General features: G+C 36.8%; 2 long non-coding RNA genes and 1 pseudogene across 5 annotated transcripts in view; 2 read left to right on the plus strand and 1 right to left on the minus strand.

The window, feature by feature from the left end:
* Nucleotides 1–12295, plus strand: part of MS4A19P (membrane spanning 4-domains A19, pseudogene) — a 30563-nt pseudogene extending 18268 nt beyond the window's left edge.
* The window catches only part of LOC105369321 (uncharacterized), a 95635-nt gene continuing 83796 nt past the window's right edge, over nt 12172–24010 (minus strand). For all 4 annotated transcript variants that reach the window (XR_001748240.2, XR_950146.2, XR_950147.3 and 1 more), the window contains 2 exons: nt 15121–15284; nt 12172–12341 (listed from right to left, as the gene is read on the minus strand). This is a non-coding gene — a long non-coding RNA (uncharacterized LOC105369321). The remainder of the gene's footprint in view (nt 12342–15120; nt 15285–24010) is intronic.
* The window catches only part of LINC00301 (long intergenic non-protein coding RNA 301), a 71399-nt gene continuing 67016 nt past the window's right edge, over nt 19628–24010 (plus strand). The window contains exon 1 of the long non-coding RNA NR_026946.1: nt 19628–19729. This is a non-coding gene — a long non-coding RNA (long intergenic non-protein coding RNA 301). The remainder of the gene's footprint in view (nt 19730–24010) is intronic.

Raw genomic sequence — 24010 nt, forward strand, 5'->3', positions numbered from 1 at the left:
CACCCAGGCTGGAGTGCAATGGCGTGATCTCAGCTCACTGCAACCTCCACCTCCCAGGTTCAAGCCATTCTCCTGCCTCAGCCTCCTGAGCAGCTGGGATTACAGGCACCTGCCATCACGCCTGGCTAATTTTTGTATTTTTAGTAGAGATGGGTTTCACCATGTTGGCCAGTCTGGTCTCAAACTCCTGATCTCAGGCGATCCACCCACCTCAGCCTCCCAAAGTGCTGGGATTACAGGCATGAGCCACCGTGCCCAGTCCTTGCAAAGCTATTCTAAGGAAATAAGGGAAAAATTAAAATTTTCCCAGATCAAAAAAAAAAAAAAAAAAAAAGCTAAGGGGGCTCATCATCACTACACCTGCGTTACAGGAATCATGAAAGGGAGCTATTTAAGCTGAAACCAAAAAAAGACACAAATTCATAACAAAAAACATATAAAAGTATAAAACTTGATGGTATAAATAATACGGTCATATTCAGAATATTCTACTACTGTAATGGTAGTACATAAAGCAATTTTATCTCTAATATGAGTGTTAAAAGACAAAACTTTTTTTTATTTTATTTTATTATTATTATACTTTAAATTTTAGGGTACATGTGCACAATGTGCAGGTTAGTTACATATGTATACATGTGCCATGCTGGTGTGCTGCACCCAGTAACTCAAAAGACAAAACTATTAAAACAACTATAACTACAATAAACTAAGGGATACAAATTACAAAAGATATACTTTTTTGACATCCAAATAACAAATAGGGGAAAAAGTAAAATGTAGACATTTTGTATTGAAAGTTAAGTTGTTATCAGCTTTAAAAGCCTGGTACGACTACAAAATAATTTATTTGTGCCTCATGGTAACCACAATACAAAAACTTATAATACTTGCACAAAATATAAAAACCAAGAAATCAAATCATACCACCATAGAAAATCATCAAATCACAAAAGTCAGTAAGAGAGGAGGAAAGAAACAAAGGATGGTTTAAAAAGAAAATAAACCACAAAACAGCAATGAGTTCTTATATATTAATAATTACCTGGAATGTAAATTGATTAAATTCTCCAATAAAAAAATTAAGTAACTAAATGGACTGAAAAACAAAATGCAACTATATGCTGCCTACAAGACACTCGCTTCACCTTTAAGGACACATATAGGCTGAAAGTGAAGGGGTGAAGAAAGATATTTCAAAAAGTGGGCGAAGGATATGAACAGACACTTCTCAAAAGAAGACATTTATGCAGCCAACAGACACATGCAAAAATGCTCATCATCACTGGCCATCAGAGAAATGCAAATCAAAACCACAACGAGATACCATCTCACACCAGTTAGAATGGCAATCATTAAAAAGTCAGGAAACAACAGGTGCTGGAGAGGATGTGGAGAAATAGGAACACTTTTACACTGTTAGTGGGACTGTAAACTAGTTCAACCATTGTGGAAGACAGTGTGGCGATTCCTCAAGGATCTAGAACTAGAAATACCATTTGACCCAGCCATCCCATTACTGGGTATATACCCAAAGGATTATAAATCATGCTGCTATAAAGACACATGCACACGTATGTTTATTGCGGCACTATTCACAATAGCAAAGACTTGGAACCAACCCAAATGTCCATCAATGATAGACTGGATTAAGAAAATGTGGCACATATACACCATGGAATACTATGCAGCCATAAAAAAGGATGAGTTTATGTCCTTTGTAGGGACATGGATGAAGCTGGAAACCATCATTCTCAGCAAACTATCGCAAGACCAAAAAAACAAACACCTCATGTTCTCACTCATAGGTGGGAAATGAACAATGAGAACACTTGGACACAGGAAGGGGAACATCACACACCAGAGCCTGTCATGGGGTGAGGGGAGGGGGGAAGGAAAGCATTAGGAGATATATCTAATGTAAATGATGAGTTAATGGGTGCAGCACACCAACATGGCACATGTATACATATGTAACAAACCTGCACGTTGTGCACATGTACCCTAGAACTTAAAGTATAATTAAAAACAAAAAGAATTTTAAAAACTGAGAAAAAAAAAGAAAGATATTTCCTGAAAATAGAAGCCAAAAAGGGAAGAAATAGCATACTTAACACCACATGTCAACAAGTATGTGAAGAAAACAAGCCCTTCATATTGTCATTGGAAGTGTAAAATGACACCATGACCTTGTAAAAATATGTGGTCATTCATTCAAAATTTAAATATATACCTGCCATATGACCCAGCAATTCATTGCTAGGCACTTACCTCTGAGAAATAAAAACGTATGTCAAAACCAGAAAACAAAAACTTGCCTATATGTTTATAGGAGTTTATTCACAATAGCCAAAACCTGAAATTGAACTAGGCAAGAAAACTTTTATCTGAAATGTTTTAGTTATTTTAGAAATAAAGCCTGGGTTTTTTTAAATAAAGGTTAATAATTGATTATTTTCTCTGGCTGCAATAAAAGTATAAAAGTGTTGCTTAAAATATTCTTTATACCATCTCACTGGGCACGGTGGCTCATGCCTGTAATCCCAGCACTTTGGGAGACCAAGATGGGCAGATCACTTGAGGTCAGGAGATCAAGACCAGCCTGGCCAGCATAGTGAAACCCTGTCTCTACTAAAAATACAAAAATTAACCGGGCGTGATGGCATGTGCCTGTAATCCCAGCTACTTGGGAAGCTGAGGCATGAGAATTGCTTGAACCTGGGAGGTGGAGGTTGCAGTGAGCCAAGATCCCATTACTGCACTCCAGCCCAGGTGACAGAGTGAGGCTCTGTCTCAAAAAAAAAAAAAAATGTTTATATGGTCTCTATTTTCAAAAATTACTAAAAAACAAACAAAACTTCATAGTAGATGGCAGGGTCATAGAGGGTAGCTTATCCCATGCCTCACACTTTTTTATTGCATCTGGCTCTCATAGTGCCCCTTCATGCTCTTCTTTCTTAATTTTTAATAGCTTTATTGAGGCATAATTGACATATAATAATCAATAAGCTGTACATATTTAAAGTACACAATTTGGTAAGCCATTAATACAATAAGACAGTGCATATGTTACCTCCAACAGTTTTCTCTGCCCCTTTGTCATCCCTCTTGCTTATCCCTCCTCAAAACCCTGCCTCCCCCAGGCATCTACTTATCTGCTTTTTATCACTACAGATTAATTTGCATTCTCTAGAGTTTTATACACATGGAATAATACAGTACATATGCTTTCTTGTTTCACTTATTTCATTCAGCATAATTATCCTGAGATTCATCCATGTATATAAATTATCAATCCCTTTTTTATTTCTAAGTGATATTCAATTTTATGGATATATCACAATTCATTTATCCATTCACCTATTGATGGAACTTGCATTGTTTCCAGTTTTGAGCTTTTACAAATAAAGCTACTATGAACATTTACAAGTCTTTGTACAGACGTATGCCCTCATTTCTCTTTAGTAAATACCTGAGTCATAGGATATATGCATGTTTAACTTTTCAAGAAACTGCTAACCTGTTTTCCAAAGTGGTTGTAGCATATTACATTTCCACTCACAGGCTGAGTATTCCAGTTCCTCCATATTTTCACTCTCTTCTTACAGTGCACTTATTGTATATCTTTTTGTATTAATGATTTATCAAATTGTGTACTTTAAATATGTCCAATACCACCCCGAGAGCAGGAATCAAAACAAGTGTTTCTGCTTGTTTTATTCAGATAAGTTTTTCCCAGAAAAACTTCATGCTCCAGAGAAGAACATCTGCTCCGTGGGGTCTTATTCATGCATTTCCTCAACAAGGTGGCTCTTTTCTAAATAAAAACAGATTATTTTGACATAGCTATTGCCTACTGTATAGTTGAGAAAATGAAATATTTACCAAATATACTTCATTTTAAAGACTGGATTATGTCAACACGCCAAAATTTACTAAGCAATACAGTTGTATGTTTACATAATAATAAACATTTTATTTTAATTTGTCTTTCTTTAAGGGAGATTTGTTACAAAAGAATAAATTAGTTGAGATCACTATACAACATACAACAGCAACTTCAATAAACACATCCTTTATCCAGTGAAACTGGTTTCAGAATTCAGTAGTTTAAGCTTTTGTAGTTATTATCTAATTCATATTAGATAGAAGGAAATATACATATCTTTTTAAATTTAACTTTTATTTTAAGTTCAGGGGTACATGTGCAGGTTTGTTATACAGGTAAACCTGTGTCATGGGGGTTTGTTTTACAGATTATTTCATCACCCAGGCATTAAGCCTAGTACCCATCAGTTATTTTTTCTCATCCTCTCCCTTCTCTCACCCTCACCCTCCAATAGGCTCCAGTGTGTTGTTTCCCTCTATGTGTTCATGTGTTCTCATCATTTAGCTCCCATTTACAAGTGAGAACAGGCGGTATTTGGTTTTCTGTTCCTGCATTAGTTTGCTAAGGATAATGGCCTCCAGCTCCTTCCATGTTCCTGCAAAGAAAATGATCTTCTCCTTTTTATTGCTGCATAGTATTCCATGGTGTATATGTACCACATTTTATTTATCCAGTCTACCATTGACGGACATTTAGGTGGATTCCATGCTTTGTTATTGTGAATCATGCTGCAGTGAACATACACATGCATGTGTCTGTATGACAGAATGATTTATATTCCCTTGGATATATTTCCAGTAATGGGACTGCTGGGTCAAACTGTAGTTCTGTTCTTATGTCTTTGAGGAATCACCACACTGTCTTCCACACTAATTGAACTAATTTACACTCCCACCCACAGTGTATAAGTGTTACTTTTTCTCTAAAACCTTATCAGCATCTGTCATTTTTTGTTGTTTTTTTTAATTATTATTATTATACTTTAAGTTTTAGGGTACATGTGCACAATGTGCAGGTTAGTTACATATGTACACATGTGCCATGCTGGTGTGCTGCACCCATTAAGTCGTCATTTAGCATTAGGTATATCTCCTAATGCTATCCCTCCCCACTCCCCCCACCCCGCAACAGTCCCCAGAGTGTGATGTTCCCCTTCCTGTGTCCATGTGTTCTCATTGTTCAATTCCCACCTATGAGTGAGAACATGTGGTGTTTGGTTTTTTGTCCTTGCGATAGTTTACCGAGAATGATGATTTCCAATTTCATCCATGTCCCTACAAAGGACATGAACTCATCCTTTTTTATGGCTGCATAGTATTCCATGGTGTATATGTGCCACATTGTCTTAATCCAGTCTATCGTTGTTGGACATTTGGCTTGGTTCCAAGTCTTTGCTATTGTGAATAGTGCTGCAATAAACATACATGTGCATATGTCTTTATAGGAGCATGATTTATAGTCCTTGGGATGGCTGGGTCAAATGGTATTTCTAGTTCTAGATCCCTGAGGAATTGCCACACTGACTTCCACAATGGTTGAACTAGTTTACAGTCCCACCAACAGTGTAAAAGTGTTCCTATTTCTCCACATCCTCTCCAGCACCTGTTGTTTCCTGACTTTTTAATGATTGCCATTCTAACTGGTGTGAGATGGTATCTCATTGTGGTTTTGATTTGCATTTCTCTGATGGCCAGTGATGATGAGCATTTTTGCATGTGTTTTTTGGCTGCATAAATGTCTTCTTTTGAGAAGTGTCTGTTCATATCCTTCACCCACTTTTTGATGGGGTTGTTTGTTTTTTTCTTGCAAATTTGTCTGATTTCATTGTAGATTCTGGATATTAGCCCTTTGTCAGATGAGTAGGTTGCAGAAATTTTCTCCCATTTTGTAGGTTGCCTGTTCACTCTGATGGTAGTTTCTTTTGCTGTGCAGAAGCTCTTTAGTTTAATTAGATCCCATTTGTCAATTTTGTCTTTTGTTGCCATTGCTTTTGGTGTTTTAGACATGAAGTCCTTGCCAATGCCTATGTCCTGAATGGTAATGCCTAGGTTTTCTTCTAGAGTTTTTATGGTTTTAGGTCTAACGTTTAAGTCTTTAATCCATCTTGAATTAATTTTTGTATAAGGTGTAAGGAAGGGATCCAGTTTCAGCTTTCTACATATGGCTAGCCAGTTTTCCCAGCACCATTCATTAAATAGGGAATCCTTTCCCCATTGCTTGTTTTTCTCAGGTTTGTCAAAGATCAGATAGCTGTAGATATGCGGCATTATTTCTGAGGGCTCTGTTCTGTTCCATTGATCTATATCTCTGTTTTGGTACTAGTACCATGCTGTTTTGGTGACTGTAGCCTTGTAGTATAGTTTGAAGTCAGGTAGCATGATGCCTCCAGCTTTGTTCTTTTGGCTTACGATTGACTTGGTGATGCGGGCTCTTTTTTGGTTCCATATGAACTTTAAAGTAGTTTTTTCCAATTCTGTGAAGAAAGTCATTGGTAGCTTGATGGGGATGGCATTGAATCAGAGCAGAACTGAAGGAAATAGAGACACAAAAAGCCCTTCAAAAAATTAATGAATCCAGGAGCTTGTTTTTTGAAAGGATCAACAAAATTGATAGACCGCTAGCAAGACTAATAAAGAAAAAAAGAGAGAAGAATCAAATAGACGCAATAAAAAATGATAAAGGGGATATCACCACTGATCCCACAGAAATACAAACTACCATCAGAGAATACTACAAACACCTCTACACAAATAAACTAGAAAATCTAGAAGAAATGGATAAATTCCTCGACACATACACTGTCCCAAGACTAAACCAGGAAGAAGTTGAATCTCTGAATAGACCAACAACAGGATCTGAAATTGTGGCAATAATCAATAGCTTACCAACCAAAAAGAGTCCAGGACCAGATGGATTCACAGCCGAATTCTACCAGAGGTACAAGGAGGAACTGGTACCATTCCTTCTGAAACTATTCCAATCAATAGAAAAAGAGGGAATCCTCCCTAACTCATTTTATGAGGCCAGCATCATCCTGATACCAAAGCCGGGCAGAGACACAACCAAAAAAGAGAATTTTAGACCAATATCCTTGATGAACATTGATACAAAAATCCTCAATAAAATACTGGCAAACTGAATCCAGCAGCACATCAAAAAGCTTATCCACCATGATCAAGTGGGCTTCATCCCTGGGATGCAAGGCTGGTTCAATATATGCAAATCAATAAATGTAATCCAGCATATAAACAGAACCAAAGACAAAAACCACATGATTATCTCAATAGATGCAGAAAAGGCCTTTGACAAAATTCAACAACACTTCATGCTAAAAACTCTCAATCAATTAGGTATTGATGGGATGTATCTCAAAATAATAAGAGCTATCTATGACAAACCCACAGCCAATATCATACTGAATGGGCAAAAACTGGAAGCATTCCCTTTGAAAATTGGCACAAGACAAGGATGCCCTCTCTCACCACTCCATTCAACATAGTGTTGGAAGTTCTGGCCAGGGCAATTAGGCAGGAGAAAGAAATAAAGGGTATTCAGTTAGGAAAAGAGGAAGTCAAATTGTCCCTGTTTGCAGATGACATGATTGTATATCTAGAAAACCCCATTGTCTCAGCCCAAAATCTCCTTAAGCTGATAAGCAACTTCAGCAAAGTCTCAGGATACAAAATCAATGTACAAAAATCACAAGCATTCTTATACACCAATAACAGACAAACAGAGAGCCAAATCATGAGTGAACTCCCATTCACAATTGCTTCAAAGAGAATAAAATACCTAGGAATCCAACTTACAAGGGACGTGAAGGACCTCTTCAAGGAGAACTACAAACCACTGCTCAAGGAAATAAAAGAGGATACAAACAAATGGAAGAACATTCCATGCTCATGGGTAGGAAGAATCAATATCGTGAAAATGGCCATCTGTCATTTTTTGACTTCTTAGTAATAGCCATTCTAAGTGGTGTGAGATGGTATCCCATTGTGGTTTTGATTTGCATTTCGCTAATGATCAGTGATGTTGAGCTTTTTTTCATATGCTGGTTGGCCACATGTATGTCTTCTTTTGAAAAATGTCTGCTCCTGTCCTTTGCCTGCTTTTTAATGGGGATGTTTGGTTTTATCTTTGTAAATTTGTTTAAGTTTCTTACAGATGCTGGATATTAGACATTTGTCAGATGCATAGTTTGCAAAAATTTTCTCTCATTCTGTAGGTTGTCTGTTCACTCTGTTGATGGTTTATTTTGCTGTGAGCAGAAGTTGCTTGGTTTAATTAGATCCCATTTTTCAATTTTCAAATTTTGTTTTTGTTGCAATTGCTTTTGGTGTCGTCATGAAAACTTTGCCGGTTTCTATATCCAGAATGGTATTATCTAGTTTGTACAGGATATATTATATATATGATATCATATATATCATATATATCATATGCATAATTATATATAATATATAATGATATATAATCATATATCATTATATATGATATATATGATATATTATATTTATATATGATATATGATATCATATATTATATATCCTGTACAAACTAGATAATACTAGATAATTTCCAATGACCAAGTAATTATATATGGTATGTATCATATATTATTATAATATTATTTTTATTATATATTATATTATATATTATATTATTATAATAGTATTATATTATTATATTATATATTATATTATATTTATAATATATTATATATTATATATATATATTATATATATATTATATATATTATATATTATATATATAATATATATATATAATATATATATAATATATATAATATATATATAATATATATTATATATATAATATAATATATATTATATATTGTATATTCTTTGTCTATAAATGTAGACAAAGAAATAAAATATAGTATATTTCATATTATATATTATATATTATATATTGTATATTCTTTGTCTATAAATGTAGACAAAGAAATAAAATATAGTATATTTCATATTATATATTATATATCATATATATTATATGTCATATATATCATATATCATATATATCATATATATCATATATATCATATATATCATATATCATATATATCATATATATTATATATCATATATATCATATATATTATATATCATATATATCATATTATATATCATATATTATATATATTATATATTATATTATATAATATTCTATATTCTATATTCTTTTTCTATAAATGTAGACAAAGAAATAAATATAATAAATAAGGATCTTCTTAATATCATATCACCTCTCTGATTCTATACATGGACAAAGTGCAATTATGCAGCAGCATTATACATATGCATGCAGTTCTCTACCATCTTCAAGATAAAATCCTAAATATCTAGCTAGATAGCACCTATCTTTCCAACAAAATTTTCTACATCTCTCCTTCTTCCACTCCAAAATGAACCATAACAAACTCCTGAAATGTTAGTTCTCTGATATCCTGAAACTGTATGGCACTATGAATTTGCCTAAATTATTACAATTTTTTACATTCTATTCATATTTAACATGCACTTGTTTGTCTTCCTCAATAGTCTGAAAATTCCTTGAGTGCAGAGACCATTTCTTTCCTTTTTATCAACTAATGCAGAGCATAGATTGCAGAATATAGAATAGGCATTCAATAAATTGTCAGTGGATAAATAAACTTGTTTATTATATCAAAAGTTTTATCATCTCCAAAATTGTTTATTCCTATTGGGATCCTGACAAATCTGCAGTTCTGACAGTCTTTGTAATGATCCTACTATGCTGAAAAGATCAGAATTTATATAAACCTTTTACTTTTAAAAAAACTTTTACTTTAATATACTTGTCAATGATGCATATGGATAATTTCCAATGACCAAATGATTATTTTTCTCTATTGCAGGTGTCTTATACTTTAGTAGCAAACATCGTAAGTGCCTGTATTTCAGTGATTGGTCTGCTTTTACTATCAGTTGAGTTTATAATATATAGTAAAAGTTCAAAAAATTCTCTTTGGCCACATGTATGTACCAGGTTTCTGTGAGAATCTCATCACAATTTTAGAATTATGTGTTAAATATTTCCTAAGTGGTCAGACTACTTAAGTACAATGCAAGTCATGGAGGTGACCCTCACCATTAGTTTACCTCATGGTATATGCATATATTAAAAATGTGAATCAAACTACAAGTTATATTTCTAAACCTAAGACCAACCAAAACCTCAAGTAAACAAATGAAAGGTATTATACATATTAATAGATGCATTTTGAGTAACTAAGCATTATATTCAATTCTGGACCCACCTGATAGCCATGATATTTTTACGATGGGCAGCTCAGTTCATTCCAGGTACCTGCATCTCTGAGGTCAGTTCTCCCAGGCCTTAAAAGATCAAGTTTGTTATAGCAAGACTTGGTCTTCCAAGAAGGAACTGGCATACTCATGTACCTGTGATACCCAAGGGCTTATGTTCAATGTCAGGGCTGTAGTTTACAGACAGAATAAAGCTGAACTCTGTACATGTATGTAATTTTGAATGCACGTACTCAGTTCTATATCGTTCATGACTATGTGGACATTTTTGCACTGCCTGCTTTGAGTCTGTCAGTTGTTCAGCAGGTCTGTGGGAGTCTAACTGTGTTCACATTTGCATTTCAATATCTGTGTATATCTATGTTCCCATTCATGTGGAACTGTGGACATATGTGCATTTATCTGTATACATTTGTTGGTGTAGAGAGAAGGGGCTAGGAGGGCAAGAAGGCAGAAGTCAGTGCTAAGCAAGTTGTGCAGAAATTGAAGCGATAAGGGCCAAAGTCTTCTCTAGGATTTCGGTCCTTCTGCTCTATCCCATCTGCCCAGGGCTTGATGAAGGGCAAAATAGTGGGAACTTTTACCAATACTTAGAAATCAACTTTTCTGAATTGAACCCATTGGATATTGCCTGTATTTAAATTCCTAACTAATTAAGTAAACTCTCCTTACTTCAACATCCAAAACTCTTGGTTAATTATCTAGTTGCAAAGAATACACCAGTTTGCATTTTATTGGATTTTTCTTATTTCTATGTAGCTTTGAAAGTGATTTTACAGTGAGTGCAATGGTAAACCTCCTTAGGAACGATTTATGTCTCTGATTCAATAAAGAAATGAGTTTAGAAATTTTAAACTACTTGCTCAGAGTCACGTGGCTAGTCACTTACAGATCATTTTTTCTAATGCAGAATGGTTTTAAATTCTAAATTATCTTACCCCACAAAATGGAGCTTTTACAAAAATCAATTCAGTGGCACATCAAAGAATCATTTTGCTGCTGCGGAGAATGCTAATATTTTATGACACATACCCTGATGGATACCTTAAAGTGGTATCTTAAATAAATAGAAACATAAAGATATTGCTTAAGATTATATTTGTATAACAAGAATGGCTCATTTTATTGGATTGATCTTTAATTATGATCTTAACTCTTTCATTTTTCTAATTTATCTCTTAAACTATCATATTCATATTAGTAGGAAATCCAGAATCTTCCTTCTGAGGGCCCCTCCCTGTTGACCCTCTCAAGTTACTCAAAACCACTGGGATCCAAAGGTTCGATATTGACTCCAAGCCCTTAGTTAACAGAGTCATGTAGTACCTCATCAGTCCACCAGTGTGCCCTTAATTTCCACTGCTATGGTTCAGTTACTATTAAATGACGCCATTATTTAACACTGATTTGAGTAGCCCATGGTGACCTTGTCATAAAAGTGCACTGAGTACTGAAGAGGCTTGGGCTTCCAATATTACGGATTCTGTATTCTTGTCTCTAACCCAGCTATACTGTCAGGATATGGGTCTATTGGAGCTTATAGACAGAGGCACAATCCCAGGAGGAAATTCCTACCCCCAGGTCACATCAGCCCTTGTGTTGAGTCCAGGTTACAAGTCCAAACATTCTTTTCTTTCATTGTTTCTCTTTAGTGTCCTTTCCTATCAACAGGGCAAATTTATGTAAGTTTCTCTATTAAATAAGTTCTATAACACTAAACCTCAAGGGTGTCACAATTCCATCTTCCCCAGAGATTTATTGGACTCAATGAAAATTTCCTGTTATTATCCACAACAATAAACAGGAAAACACAATCAATGATTCTCATCATACATTTGGCAGAAATATATCAGTATATCATCATCCTCAATAATTATCCATTGTAATTACAATTAAAAAATATTTAAAATTCTATTGTTGAGGGTGGAGGATAGGGTGGGTAGTTTTTCTCTTCTATTTTTCTTCTTCAATTTTAAGATACCTTTATTATTTCTAAAGTGCTCACATAGAAAGATCTGTAAGGAATGTACATTTTCTTTGTGGATACAGAAAAGTGGCAAACTCCTTTCGGAATATCTGTTCATATTAACCATCTTGGAGTTGTTTGTGGCAAGTATAGTCAGCCACTGGGCATCCTAAGCAAAAAAGAGAAGAAGATAAAGATGCAGTGAGTATCCCATTTTTCCCTTAGTAGATCAGAAGATGTTGTCTTCTGTTATGAACACTATTTGAATAACTAAGGTTTTGATATGAATTAAGTATAAATAATGCCATCACTAAGCTGTGATTGTAGATAGCTGAAAACACTCGGCACTAACTGTCATGCACTTATATGGGTCCCTCCACAACTGAATAAATAATTTTCCCTTTTATAAAGGTGTTTTGCATTACAGGATGCTTTTATGTCCATAACATATGAGAGAATAAGGTAGAAGATATGTGATTTTCTGGCTCAGGTCTGTTTAATTCTACAGACATTACCCTGGAAACAAAAAGCTTTGTAGAAGTTGTTACCAGGCACGGGGATATGGGACTACTGAAGACTGAAGCCTTTATTTCTCAAAATTTGGGAGAACAAGTTGAATATCTAAGTGTAGAACTTTAGTGTCTTCAGAAACCAAGATTTGGGAGTAATGGAGAAGTTGAAAAAGATGGTAAAGCCTTTTTTCAATAAAGCTATTTTCCTACTTTCTCCATATCAACTACTTCACGTCTAAAGGAAAACTTAACCTCCATTTGACCTCACTAAATCAGAGAACTTCAATCTCACTAAATCAGAGAACTTCAGTGAAAGATATGCCTGCCCTTTTTCCCCAGTACCCACTCAACAGGCCGAGGCTTAGAGATCTATGAGATCATAAAAACAACTGAGAAGGAGACCACAGTTAACACAAAGAAGAAAGTGAGTTGTCCATATATCCTAGACCACATGTGTAGAAAGGTTTAGGAAATTTAAGCTTCCTCCCCATTTTACCACTTTCTAATCTCATCTGTTTGACCCTTTGACCTGCCTTCTTACCTGGGTCTTACTTAATCTCTTCAGGTTGCTGTTCTGTCCCTTGACTTTTCCAACTGTACCTCTATAGTTTTTGTATAGGCAACACCATATATACCTACAGCTTGGTAGATGTATACCATCTATAAATTTATAATAATCCAAATGTTAAATCTCCACCCTAGACCTTTCTACTGAGCTCTAGGCTCATATTGCCAACTTCTCTCTAGAGAGTTTGATTCGAAGGATTCCAAAGCACCTCAAATAAAACATATCTAAAACTGAACTAATCATCTCACCCACAAAGTCATTACCTTGTCTTTTCCATTTAAGAGCACCACCATCTATCTACCTGCCTGCCCTGGCGAGGGAGCTGAGAAATACTCTCAAATTGAAACAATTTGACAATCCTTTTTACATGATCCCCTAAATGTATTTCAATTCTGTCCTCTGTTTCTTCATCTCCCCAAATGAAAGTTTAAACAGGAAACACTTACCACACGAAAGCCTGATATTCTAGCACAACATTCATTTCTGTAATAATTTAGCCCAATCTACTTTCTTGACTTCATTTCCTACCACTCACGCCCATAAATGCTGTGCTCCAGCCTCACCAATTTACTTATCATTCCATAAATATGCCTTGTTAAGTTTACCATCTTAATTTGTAAATAGCTTTGTTTAGGAATCTCTATTTTGAATTAAACTGATAAAATGAATTAGGAGGGAGAGGAATTTATCATATAGATTTCTTTTCTTGTATTTCCCACTTTCTCTTGACACTCAGAGGCTACATCTTCATTTGTACTGCAAAAGTCACTTGCTTTTCAAAACATGTGAATTAGCTATAATTCCAGATGAATTAGGGTATTGAAAACCTGTTATCTGGATCACTGATTGCCTTTCAATGAATCTTCTTTAAGTAAGGTATTAAAATGGGGAGCTGAAGTTCCATCTAAAGGTATTCAAACTCGAAATCTCAAAAAAATATGGCTCTAACTAAAAGCAAAGTAAACAAAACACACCAAACACACACACACACACACACACACACACACACACACACTCACAGAGGTCTTATTCTTAATTCTTCTCTGAATAAAGTGAAAAGAGAACAAACATGGATTGGGTATATAAGAACATATAGATTTCTACTCCAACTAAATAGAATTTAAACTGACAGCTATTCAATGCTATACTTAATAATGTAATCAAGTTTGAGTAGAAAACAATATGCCCTTTATGATCAATCATTGTCTTGGGGACTGTCTTTTCATATAGCATTGTCTTTGGCTTTCAATCTATAGAAACAAAAAAGAAGGGAGGATGGAAACCAGGGAGAAAGGGAGAGAGGACAAAGAAAAAAACTAAAAAGTATCAAAAGCACATGGTTTAATTTAAAAATCTCGCCTGGTGGGGTGGTTCACACCCATAATTCCAGCACTTTGAGAGGCTAAAGCAGGGGAATTGCTTGAGCTCAGGATTTTGAGACCAGCCTGGGGAACACAATGAGACCCCATCTCTACAAAAATATAAAATAAAATAAAATAAAATAAAATAAAATAAAATAAAATAAAATAAAATAAAATAGTAAAGTAAAGTAAAATAAAATAAAATAAAATGCATAAAGTTGAAAAAATTACCCAGGAGTGGTGGCACATCCCTGCAGTCCTTAGCTACTTAGGAGGGGAAGGTGGAAGGAGGGCTTGTGCCCAGGAATTCAGAGTTACAGTGAGCAATGATAGTGCCACTGCATTCCAGGCTGGGTGACAGAGACCTCATCTCTAAAAAAATAAATAAAATAAAAATCTCAATGAGGAGAATACTTCTATTAGAATTATTTCCAAAATTCTAACCCAAATTCTATAGTTCTTTATTTTAGAGTGTGCTAATGATCAATTTACTGATATCTAACTTACCTCAGGTTCATGGCAGAAGGAGATCCTTTCTCTGCATATTAAAGAAACCATCAGTGAGCTCAGTCAAGGAGGAAAGTTTAGTGGCAAATGAAGAACTTCATTCTGTTCAAGAGGCTTCTTGGAAAATGTAATTTCATTAAATCCATCTCAGTATTCTCTTCCCCCTATTTCATTAATAAAAATTAAAATTGATGAATATGGTTATTTTTGTCTACATGAGGAACTGTGCATGAATTTATCTCAGTTTGAATATGGTCAGCCTGAGTTAAGGGATTCTTCCATACAAGAGAAGTTCTATGAATGGGCACATGTTACTAGAGTAGAATCTATACCTAAAATTGATAATGATGTAATAAATGCTAACTCGAGAAAATTATTTCATTGTGAGAAGGAGACTTCGCATAAATGATAAATAATCCCATTGCTTGTGAAGGCTTCTTTGCTTATTAGCTCTAAATACTACTAATTATTTCTTTCTCACTGGATATTATTAAAACATGCATAGCTTACCTACAGTGAAGAAGGTATATTACAATTAGCCATATCTTTATGTTATTGAGACTACATGAATTAATAGCTACTGGATTTAGTTTGTCTAGAAAGTCCAGCTCCCAAAACGTTACATATTTTTGCCTATAATTTTACACTGTGGCTTATCACACTCAAATTTTAAGCAAATTATCTTAGAAATGTTTTGTTGTGTCTATAAGGATGCTTCCTATTTTTTAAATTTTCTTTGATCTCCATACCCCACTCCCCCTTCCCTCCCTCCATGAGCAATTGTTCCACTTTATAAAACATGCATATTTTATTTGTCAGTATCTCCCCAAAAATGTATGGCATTCTATTGTAGGAATGTATCTGGAATCCATGAAGTTCATACACACCCATAAATTACATGCACAAACTTTGCTCCTCCTAACAGTAAGTTTTAAAGATCTATCCGTGTGGCTATCAGTACCTCTATCAGTTGATTTTAAATGCTGCCTAAAGTCTGTGCCATGCACCCCGCACATTTATACATTCGCTGTCCCAGAAATGGGCAACTGGGTTCCCCCCATCTTGCCCCTTAAGTAATTTGGGGGGATACAAATTCAAGATTAGAGTATCTGTGTTATTTACATATATGCCATTTGTTTATGAAGTGCAAAAATTTCCACCATTTAGAACAGTCTTCTGTTGCAGGTCCTTTATTATTGTGTGTTTTTCTTCAGTCTAGTCTGTATACTTTTGTTCTCTTAGGAATTCACAGATTCTGGTTCACCAAGAGAGTTGCTTCTTATTTTTCAATGTGGCAATGGAATTTTTTTTGTAAGTGTGCTCCTTGGAATTGGAGTTCATATGAAGAATAAGTAGCATCTGCTTGGTCTACCTTCATGAACTAAAAACCACAACTGTGAGAGAGACTTGCATAAATGTATGGGTTGAGAAGAAATACAAAGCAGGGAGTAATATTTGAATATACTGGGGAGAAAGAGATAATTGATGGATTAAGGTTTATAAGCCCTTTGAAGGACATGAGATTAGTAGCACAGGGACAGATTACACTTTAGAATAGAGGAAAGACACCTAATTCTGATCAAGTAAGAAAATAGTGAAAAATTAGCTTTAATGTAAATGTTCTTTATCCATTCCTCCATATGAGAAGGATAAGAAAGAACATGAGAGACTTTGTCTTTCCTTTGAAAAAATTGACAAGGCAGTCATTTAGGAGTGAGGGGTGGTAATGAATAAAGTACTTGTTTGGATTAAGAGTTGCCAGGAATCAGAGGCAAAATTGGCCAAATTATACTCAACGATTTAATTAGAAGCACAGATGAAGATACTGGACTTTCAGATGACATCTTTGTTGGGTGTCTATCCATGCCATTGTGAGAGTTTCCCTAAAATATCCTACACAGAAAAGGTGGCATTACAAGGTGGCAAACTTGCATTTGTGGGTTTTAATAAGATGATAATTAGTGGATCTGTGGGATCCAGGCTGAATGAGGAAGGATATGATGCCAGAAATTTTGAAAGAAATGTAGAGATTGGGGGCCAATAATCTGAAAAGGGGCTGCTAACACCTAAGATGCCTTTGTGCAAACTAGACAAAAGTACCCCGTTCAAAAGGACAGATTGCTTAATAACAGCTCCTCTGGGAAAATGAAATAGAAGGTAAGTCCCCTCTGAACAGTACAATTAGAAATTGAGGCCCCTTCCTCCTAGCTAATCAACCCAGCACCAAGGGAGTCTGCCCTGCAAGTGGAGACCAGGTGCAACTGCAGCCCCAATCTTTGACCCCATTTACATGCATCCTTGAACAAGGTCCCAGCTTCAGAGCCTGAGCTAGTTTAACACAAAGAACAGCTCTAGATAGGGAGTCATGACATGGCAGATCTGAAAGATATTTGTTTTTGATCACAGAGCAGGATATCACAATTGAGATACCGGAGAGAATGAGCCGCAAATGTAAATATAGGGTAGCTCCTCCATTTATTCATACATTCATCATAAACTACTTTTTGACAATCTACTTTGCACCAGGCATAATTCTTGCTTCTGGCAACAGATTTAAACAGAAGAGACAAGATCCTGCCTTCAGGGAGCTTATATTCTAGGGAGAGGAAGTCAGTGACACTATATGGACCATGCACTGGTCAACAAAGCAAATACATAAAAATTTAAAAGGCCAATCTCTCCTTCCCCCATAAAAAAAAAAAGAAAAAGAATCATAGTCACCCTTGGAGGGTGTTCATTATTTCAAAATTTCATAAGTAAAGAGATAAAGCACACATCTTGCCTTTCATTTTTGTAACAGTTTCATTGAGATATAATTCACATATTATAAAATTTACCTATTTATTTGTGGGTTTTTTTGTTTCTTTGTTTGTTTTTGAGATGGGGTCTCGCTCTGTTGCCCAGGCTGGAGTGCAGTGGCGCAATCTCAGCTCAGTGAAAGCTATGCCTCCTGGGTTCACACCATTCTCCTGCCTCAGCCTCCCAAGTAGCTGGGACTACAGGCACCCGCCACCATGCCTGACTAATTTTTTGTATTTTTAGTAGAGCCAGGATGGTCTTGATCTCCTGACCTCGTGATCTGCCCGCCTCCGCCTCCCAAAGTGCTGGGATTACAGGCGTGAGCGACTGTGCCCAGCCTGAAATTTACCTATTTAAAGTATATAGTTTAGTGGCTTTTAGTATATTCACAGAGTTGTGTAAGTAACACCACCTAATTTTGGACCCAAACCCATTAGGAGTAATTCTTATTCTCCACCCACTTACCTCAGTATTAGCAAATCACTGGTCTACTTTCTGTCTCTGTGGATTTGCCTACCAGGGCTATTTTATATGAACGTCTTTTGTGACTTGCTTCTTTCACTTACCGTAATGATTCCAAGGCTTATTCATGCTGTAGCATAAACTATAACTTTGTTGTGTTTCATTATCAAATAATACATTATATGGATATACCAAATATTGTTTGTTCATTCATGAGTTGATAGGGATTTGGGTTGTTTTCATTTTTGGCTATTAGGAATATATAAGAATGCTCCTATGAACATTTGTGTGCAAGTTTTTTTTGTAATGAGGACTTTCCTGACTCCCCTCATTTACATTTCCATTGACGCCACCTCCCTTTCATACTTTATTATTCTCCTTAGCTCTCATTATTCTTAACATGCTATAAATTTTCCTTATGAATCTTATTATTGTTTTCCTTATTATTAGAATTTCATCTGTTTTGTTCACTACAGTATCCCCAGCATTGAGAACAATGCCTAGCACATACTGGCACTCAGTGGAAATTTGCTAAATTCATTAATCATAAAAACGGCAAACATAAAAGAGTTCAACAAACATGACTGTCATCTATTACTCATTAGCCAGCTGATGCTAACACTTTAATAAATTAGACAAAACCTTGCAATCATTCATTTATTCCTACTATGTGTTGAGGATAGTTGTTAAACACTGAATATACAACTCAAACTGTCAGGTTCAGCATGACGGACATATATGCACCCGGTTATTGCAGTGGAATATGTTTGTAATCGCAGTGGAATGTGTTTGTAAAACATCTTTGGTTTTCAAAGTTCTGCAGTATAAGCGTATGAGGTACCTGAGCGGGTATCATCTCCACTCTACAAAATAATAAACTAAGGACCAAAGGAGTTAAGTGCAGTGCTGTACCCACCACATCTTGCAGAGGATTCTAAGTGGCAACGAGCTTCTGACAACGATGCTGCTTCTAAGCGGGGGTGTGTCTGGGGTTAGCAGTGGGGCCACCACGTGATCAGTCCGCCGACAGATCAAGCACAGCCTCTTCCTCCTGGGTGTGCCAGGCCCAGGGACAGAGGATGATGCCCACACAGCCAGCAAAGGGCAGCATTGTTGTCAGCCGCCACCCCACCCTCGTCTTGGGAGCCTGCAGGCTCCGCGGAGCCATGGGAGCCCCACCGCGCCTCAGGTGTCCGCGCGGGTCTCTCGGACAGCCCCGCTCTTGGACGTTAGAACCCCGCGAGGCAGGGTGAGGGGCGCCACCGAGGAAGCGCCCACCGGGCTCCCGGGGCTGCCAGGCCCCAAATTGAGGAAGTTGACTGCCAGATCACACTCTGTTGGCCCACGCGTGAGTGTAGGGATCCCTGGTTGGATTTGCACTGGCGCTGGGAATAAAACTAGCACCTGCTGAGGGTCAGGTGTTCCCCACGACCCCATAGTCACAGTGTTTTCCAAACCACTTCCAGTTGGAAAGAGCCTTAATTAATACTCTGTGGCACTTTTCACGTATTTCTTTCAATACCTTTTCTTCCAATGTGTGTTTTCAATAAGTGACCTGTTTGACACACCCAGCATCCTCTCATGTAAAAATAAATTGGCTAATTCACAGGAGGAGAATATGGAGATAGTGTAGTGAATTGGGGATCCCAGGGTCATGGTTGTGGCAATAATGACTCTTACTTTCCATCTTTTACCATCTTTCTATATTCTTTTTAGCTTAGGAGATGCGCCTTGGGTTTTGCGCTAGAGATCATATAAACAGAAACTCATATTTTGGATGATAGGAATGGTTGATTTCCAAGAACAGTAACTTAAGAGTTTCCCTGATTGTGTGTATTCCCTTTCCTGGCTGACCTACAAAGCTTTAGTAGGGAGAATCCTTAACCAGGATTATATAAGTAGATTCTGCTGCTGCTCCTCTGGAGCAGGCCACAGAGTCCTCGTGTGAAAAGTGGCTCTTCTGAGAATCGCCTCTTGAAATTCATATTGTCTGCGTGTATAAATTCAATTTGATCCTTAACATTGAAACCGAGGTTTGCTTTCTCAAGACTTTTTAGTACCTGCCGCATGTCTCAGTCAAGTCTGTTCTATCTCCTTGGGTTCATCTGCTATGGAGAAAGACAGTATGTGTCTTTGGGGTAACCTTCCAAGGCTGCCCAAAACTAATTCAATAAATGCCAGAGAACCTATGCTCTAAGGCTGAACTTCCCAAACATGTTTCATGACTGGCATAAACAAATCTACCCATTTATACGTAATGTGGTAATGTATCATGCATTTCCTGGTAACACATCAGCCAGGAAAGGGAATACACAATCAGGGAAACTCTTGGAAAATCACTGTTCTTGGAAATCAACCATTCCTATCATCCAAAATATGAGTTTCTGTTTATATAATCTCTAATGCAAAACTCAAGGCACAAGATACCCAAAATGGATAGAAAGGATTCTGCAAGCAATTATTGTTTTCCAACAATGTGCAAACTCATTGCTAGAGCCAGATACTGTGACATTGTGAGATTTTGCAGCAGCAATGATGTATATGGGAAGGCACTTAAAAATCGTAAGGTACTTAAATATCACATGGTAGTGGAAATGTCAGCGGTCAGGAATGGATGGAGTGCTGTGTGGGGAAAAGAAGCATAGGCCAAATATACCTGGCTCCAATGTGCCACACAAAGAAATGTGTACTGTGGCCCGAAGACAACAAGGAGCCATTGAAAGATTTTTTTTTCTTTCCAACTTTTATTTTAACATGTCCAGGTTTGTTACATGGGTAAACTCCATGTCATAGGGGTTTGGTATACAGATTATTTTATTACCCAGGTAATAAGCATAGTACTTGAAGGGTAGATTTCCATTTTTTTTTTTTTTTGAGACAGAATCTCACACTGTCACCCCAGCTGGAGTGCAGTGGCACAATCTCAGCTCACTGCAATCCTCACCTCCTGGGTTCAAGCGATTCTCCTGCCTCAGCCTCCCAAGTAGCTGGGATTACAGATGCCTGCCACCATGCCCAACTAATTTTTTGTACTCTTAGTAGAGATGGGGTTTCACCATGTTGGCCAGGCTGGTCTTGAACTCCTGTCCTCATGATTTCCCTGCCTCGGTCGCCCAAAGTGCTGGGATTACAGGAGTGAGCCACCGCGCCCAGCCCAATAGGTAGATTTTCTATCTTCACCTCCTCCCACCATCCACCATCACGTAGGGCCTAGTGTCTATTGTTCCTTTCTTCGTGTTCATGTGTACTCAATGTTTAGCTCACATAAGTAAGAACATGCAGTATTTGGTTTTCTGTTCCTGGATTAATTTACTTAGGATAATGACTTCCAGCTCCATTCATGTTGCTGCAAAGGACATGATTTTGTTCTTTTTTATGGCTGCGTAGTATTCCATGGTGCATATGTGTCATATTTATCTAGTCCACTTTTGATGGGTATTTAGGTTGATTCCATGTCTTTGCCATTGTGAATAGCATGGCAATGAACATACAAGTGCATGTGTCTTTGTGGTAGAATGATTTAAGCAAGTGATTCCTACATGTGATTTCTGTTTTAGAAATGCCACTGTGGTCATATTATAGAGGCTGGATTTAAGCTTTTAGGTTCCTTTGCTGTGGTGATTGGGTGGTTTCATATTTTGCTATTTTGTAGCAAATTGTAACTCAAGGGAATAATTCAAAGGAATGGTGTGAAATAACCTGTAGGGTCCAGCCCTACAGGGCCTGTGGGTTTTTCTCTTCGTGTTCAGAGACAAGAGATTGTAGAAATAAAGACACAAGACAAAGAGATAGAAGAAAAGACAGCTGGGCCTGGTGGACCACTACCACCAAGGCGTGGAGACCGGTAGTGGCCCCGAATGCCTGACCGTGCTATTTATTGGATACAAGGCAAAAGGGGCAGGGTAAGGAGTGTGAGTCATCTCCAGTGATTGATAAGGTCACGTGAGTCATGTGTCCACCGGACAGGGGGCCTTTCCCTTTTAGGTAGCCAAGGCAGAGAGAGAGAGGACAGCTTACGTCATTATTTCTTCTATGCTCTTCTCAGAAAGATCAAAGACTTTAATACTTTCACTAATAATGCTACTGCTATCTAGAAGGCAGAGCCAGGTGTACAGGGTGGAACATGAAAGTGGACCAGGAGCGTGACCGCTGAAGCACAGCATCACAGGGAGACGGTTAGGCCTCCGCATGGCTGTGGGCAGGCCTGACTCATGTCAGGCCTTCCCCAAGAGATGGTGGAGCAGAGTCTTCTTTAACTCCCCCCGGGAAAGGGAGACTCCCTTTCCAGGTCTGCTAAGTAACGGGTGCCTTCCGAGGCACTGGCGCTACCGCTAGACCAAGGTCGGCTAAGTAATGGGAGCCCTCCCAGGCACTGGCATTACCACTAGACCAGGGAGCCCTCTAGTGGCCCTGTCCGAGCATGACAGAGGGCTCACACTCTGCTGGTCACTTCTCACCGTGTCCCTTCAGCTCCTACCTCTGTATAGCCTGTTTTTTCCTAGGTTATAATTGTAGAACAAAGATTATTATAATATTGGAATAAAGAATAATGCTATAAACTAATGATTAGTAATATTCATAGATAATCATATCTATATTCTATGTCTAATATAACTATTCTTATTTTAAGTATTTTCTTTATTATACCAGAACAGCTTGTGCCTTCAGTCTCTTGCCTTGGCACCTGGGTGGCTTGCTGCCCACAAATAACCAGTGAGGTTGTTTCTAATAAAATCTGGAAAAGAAACCAAAAGTAGTGTCCAAAACTATAGGGGAATCGGGAATCTGATACAAGTAACTGGAGAGAGGTTGAAGGGAAACAGGAAAAAAGCATTATTGGCATTTGACTTTGTGGCAGTTCCTATTATTTGCTTCCCAAAACAACTCTGTGGGATTAGAAAACTAATTCTCTGAAATATTAAGTAGAACTTAACATTAGTAATTAATATAGACAACTGTTATTAGTCTAAAAGTAGTTGTACCAATTATACAGTTAGCAGTCAATATAGACAAGATTTGAACTCAAGTCTATATCCACTTGTTTCACAACACTATGCTCCATTTTCTTAGTTTCATGTGTCATTGGTACATCTATTTGGTAACTGATCCTTAGGAATTAGTGGATGATGTAAATCAGAAAGAAAAATAATATAAGTAAAGATTTTGAAACCAAGATCTTAGACTTCAGAGTTGGCTATTGGCAAAATATTGAGAAAAAATCTAAACTAGGTAATGAACAAAGATCCATCAGATATTGTAAAATCTAAAGAGTAAATTCTCAAAGCCATATGGCAAGAGTTATAAGAAAGACAAATCAATAATTTAAAAAGACTTTGGCTGCAAGTAACAGAAAACAACTCTTGCTAGCTTAAGCAAAACAAAGAAACATGTATTTTCCAAGGGCAGGAAGACATCTCAGCTTCAGAAAAGGACTATAACTAGGAAATTGAAAGTTATTAGGAACTCCAGTAGTTCTCTTGGTCTATTTTTTATTTTTTATTTTTCTGGACGTCTTCTCAGCTTATGCGGTAGAACACATTAATGTTCTTCATTTCAAGAGTTTATATAATCTCATCTAGAAGCAAACCCAGACTAAGGTTATAATATCTAAGTTCTAAATATGCAATTC

The sequence above is a fragment of the Homo sapiens genome, chromosome 11 (genome assembly GCF_000001405.40).
Source record: "Homo sapiens chromosome 11, GRCh38.p14 Primary Assembly".
Lineage (NCBI taxonomy): Eukaryota > Metazoa > Chordata > Mammalia > Primates > Hominidae > Homo > Homo sapiens.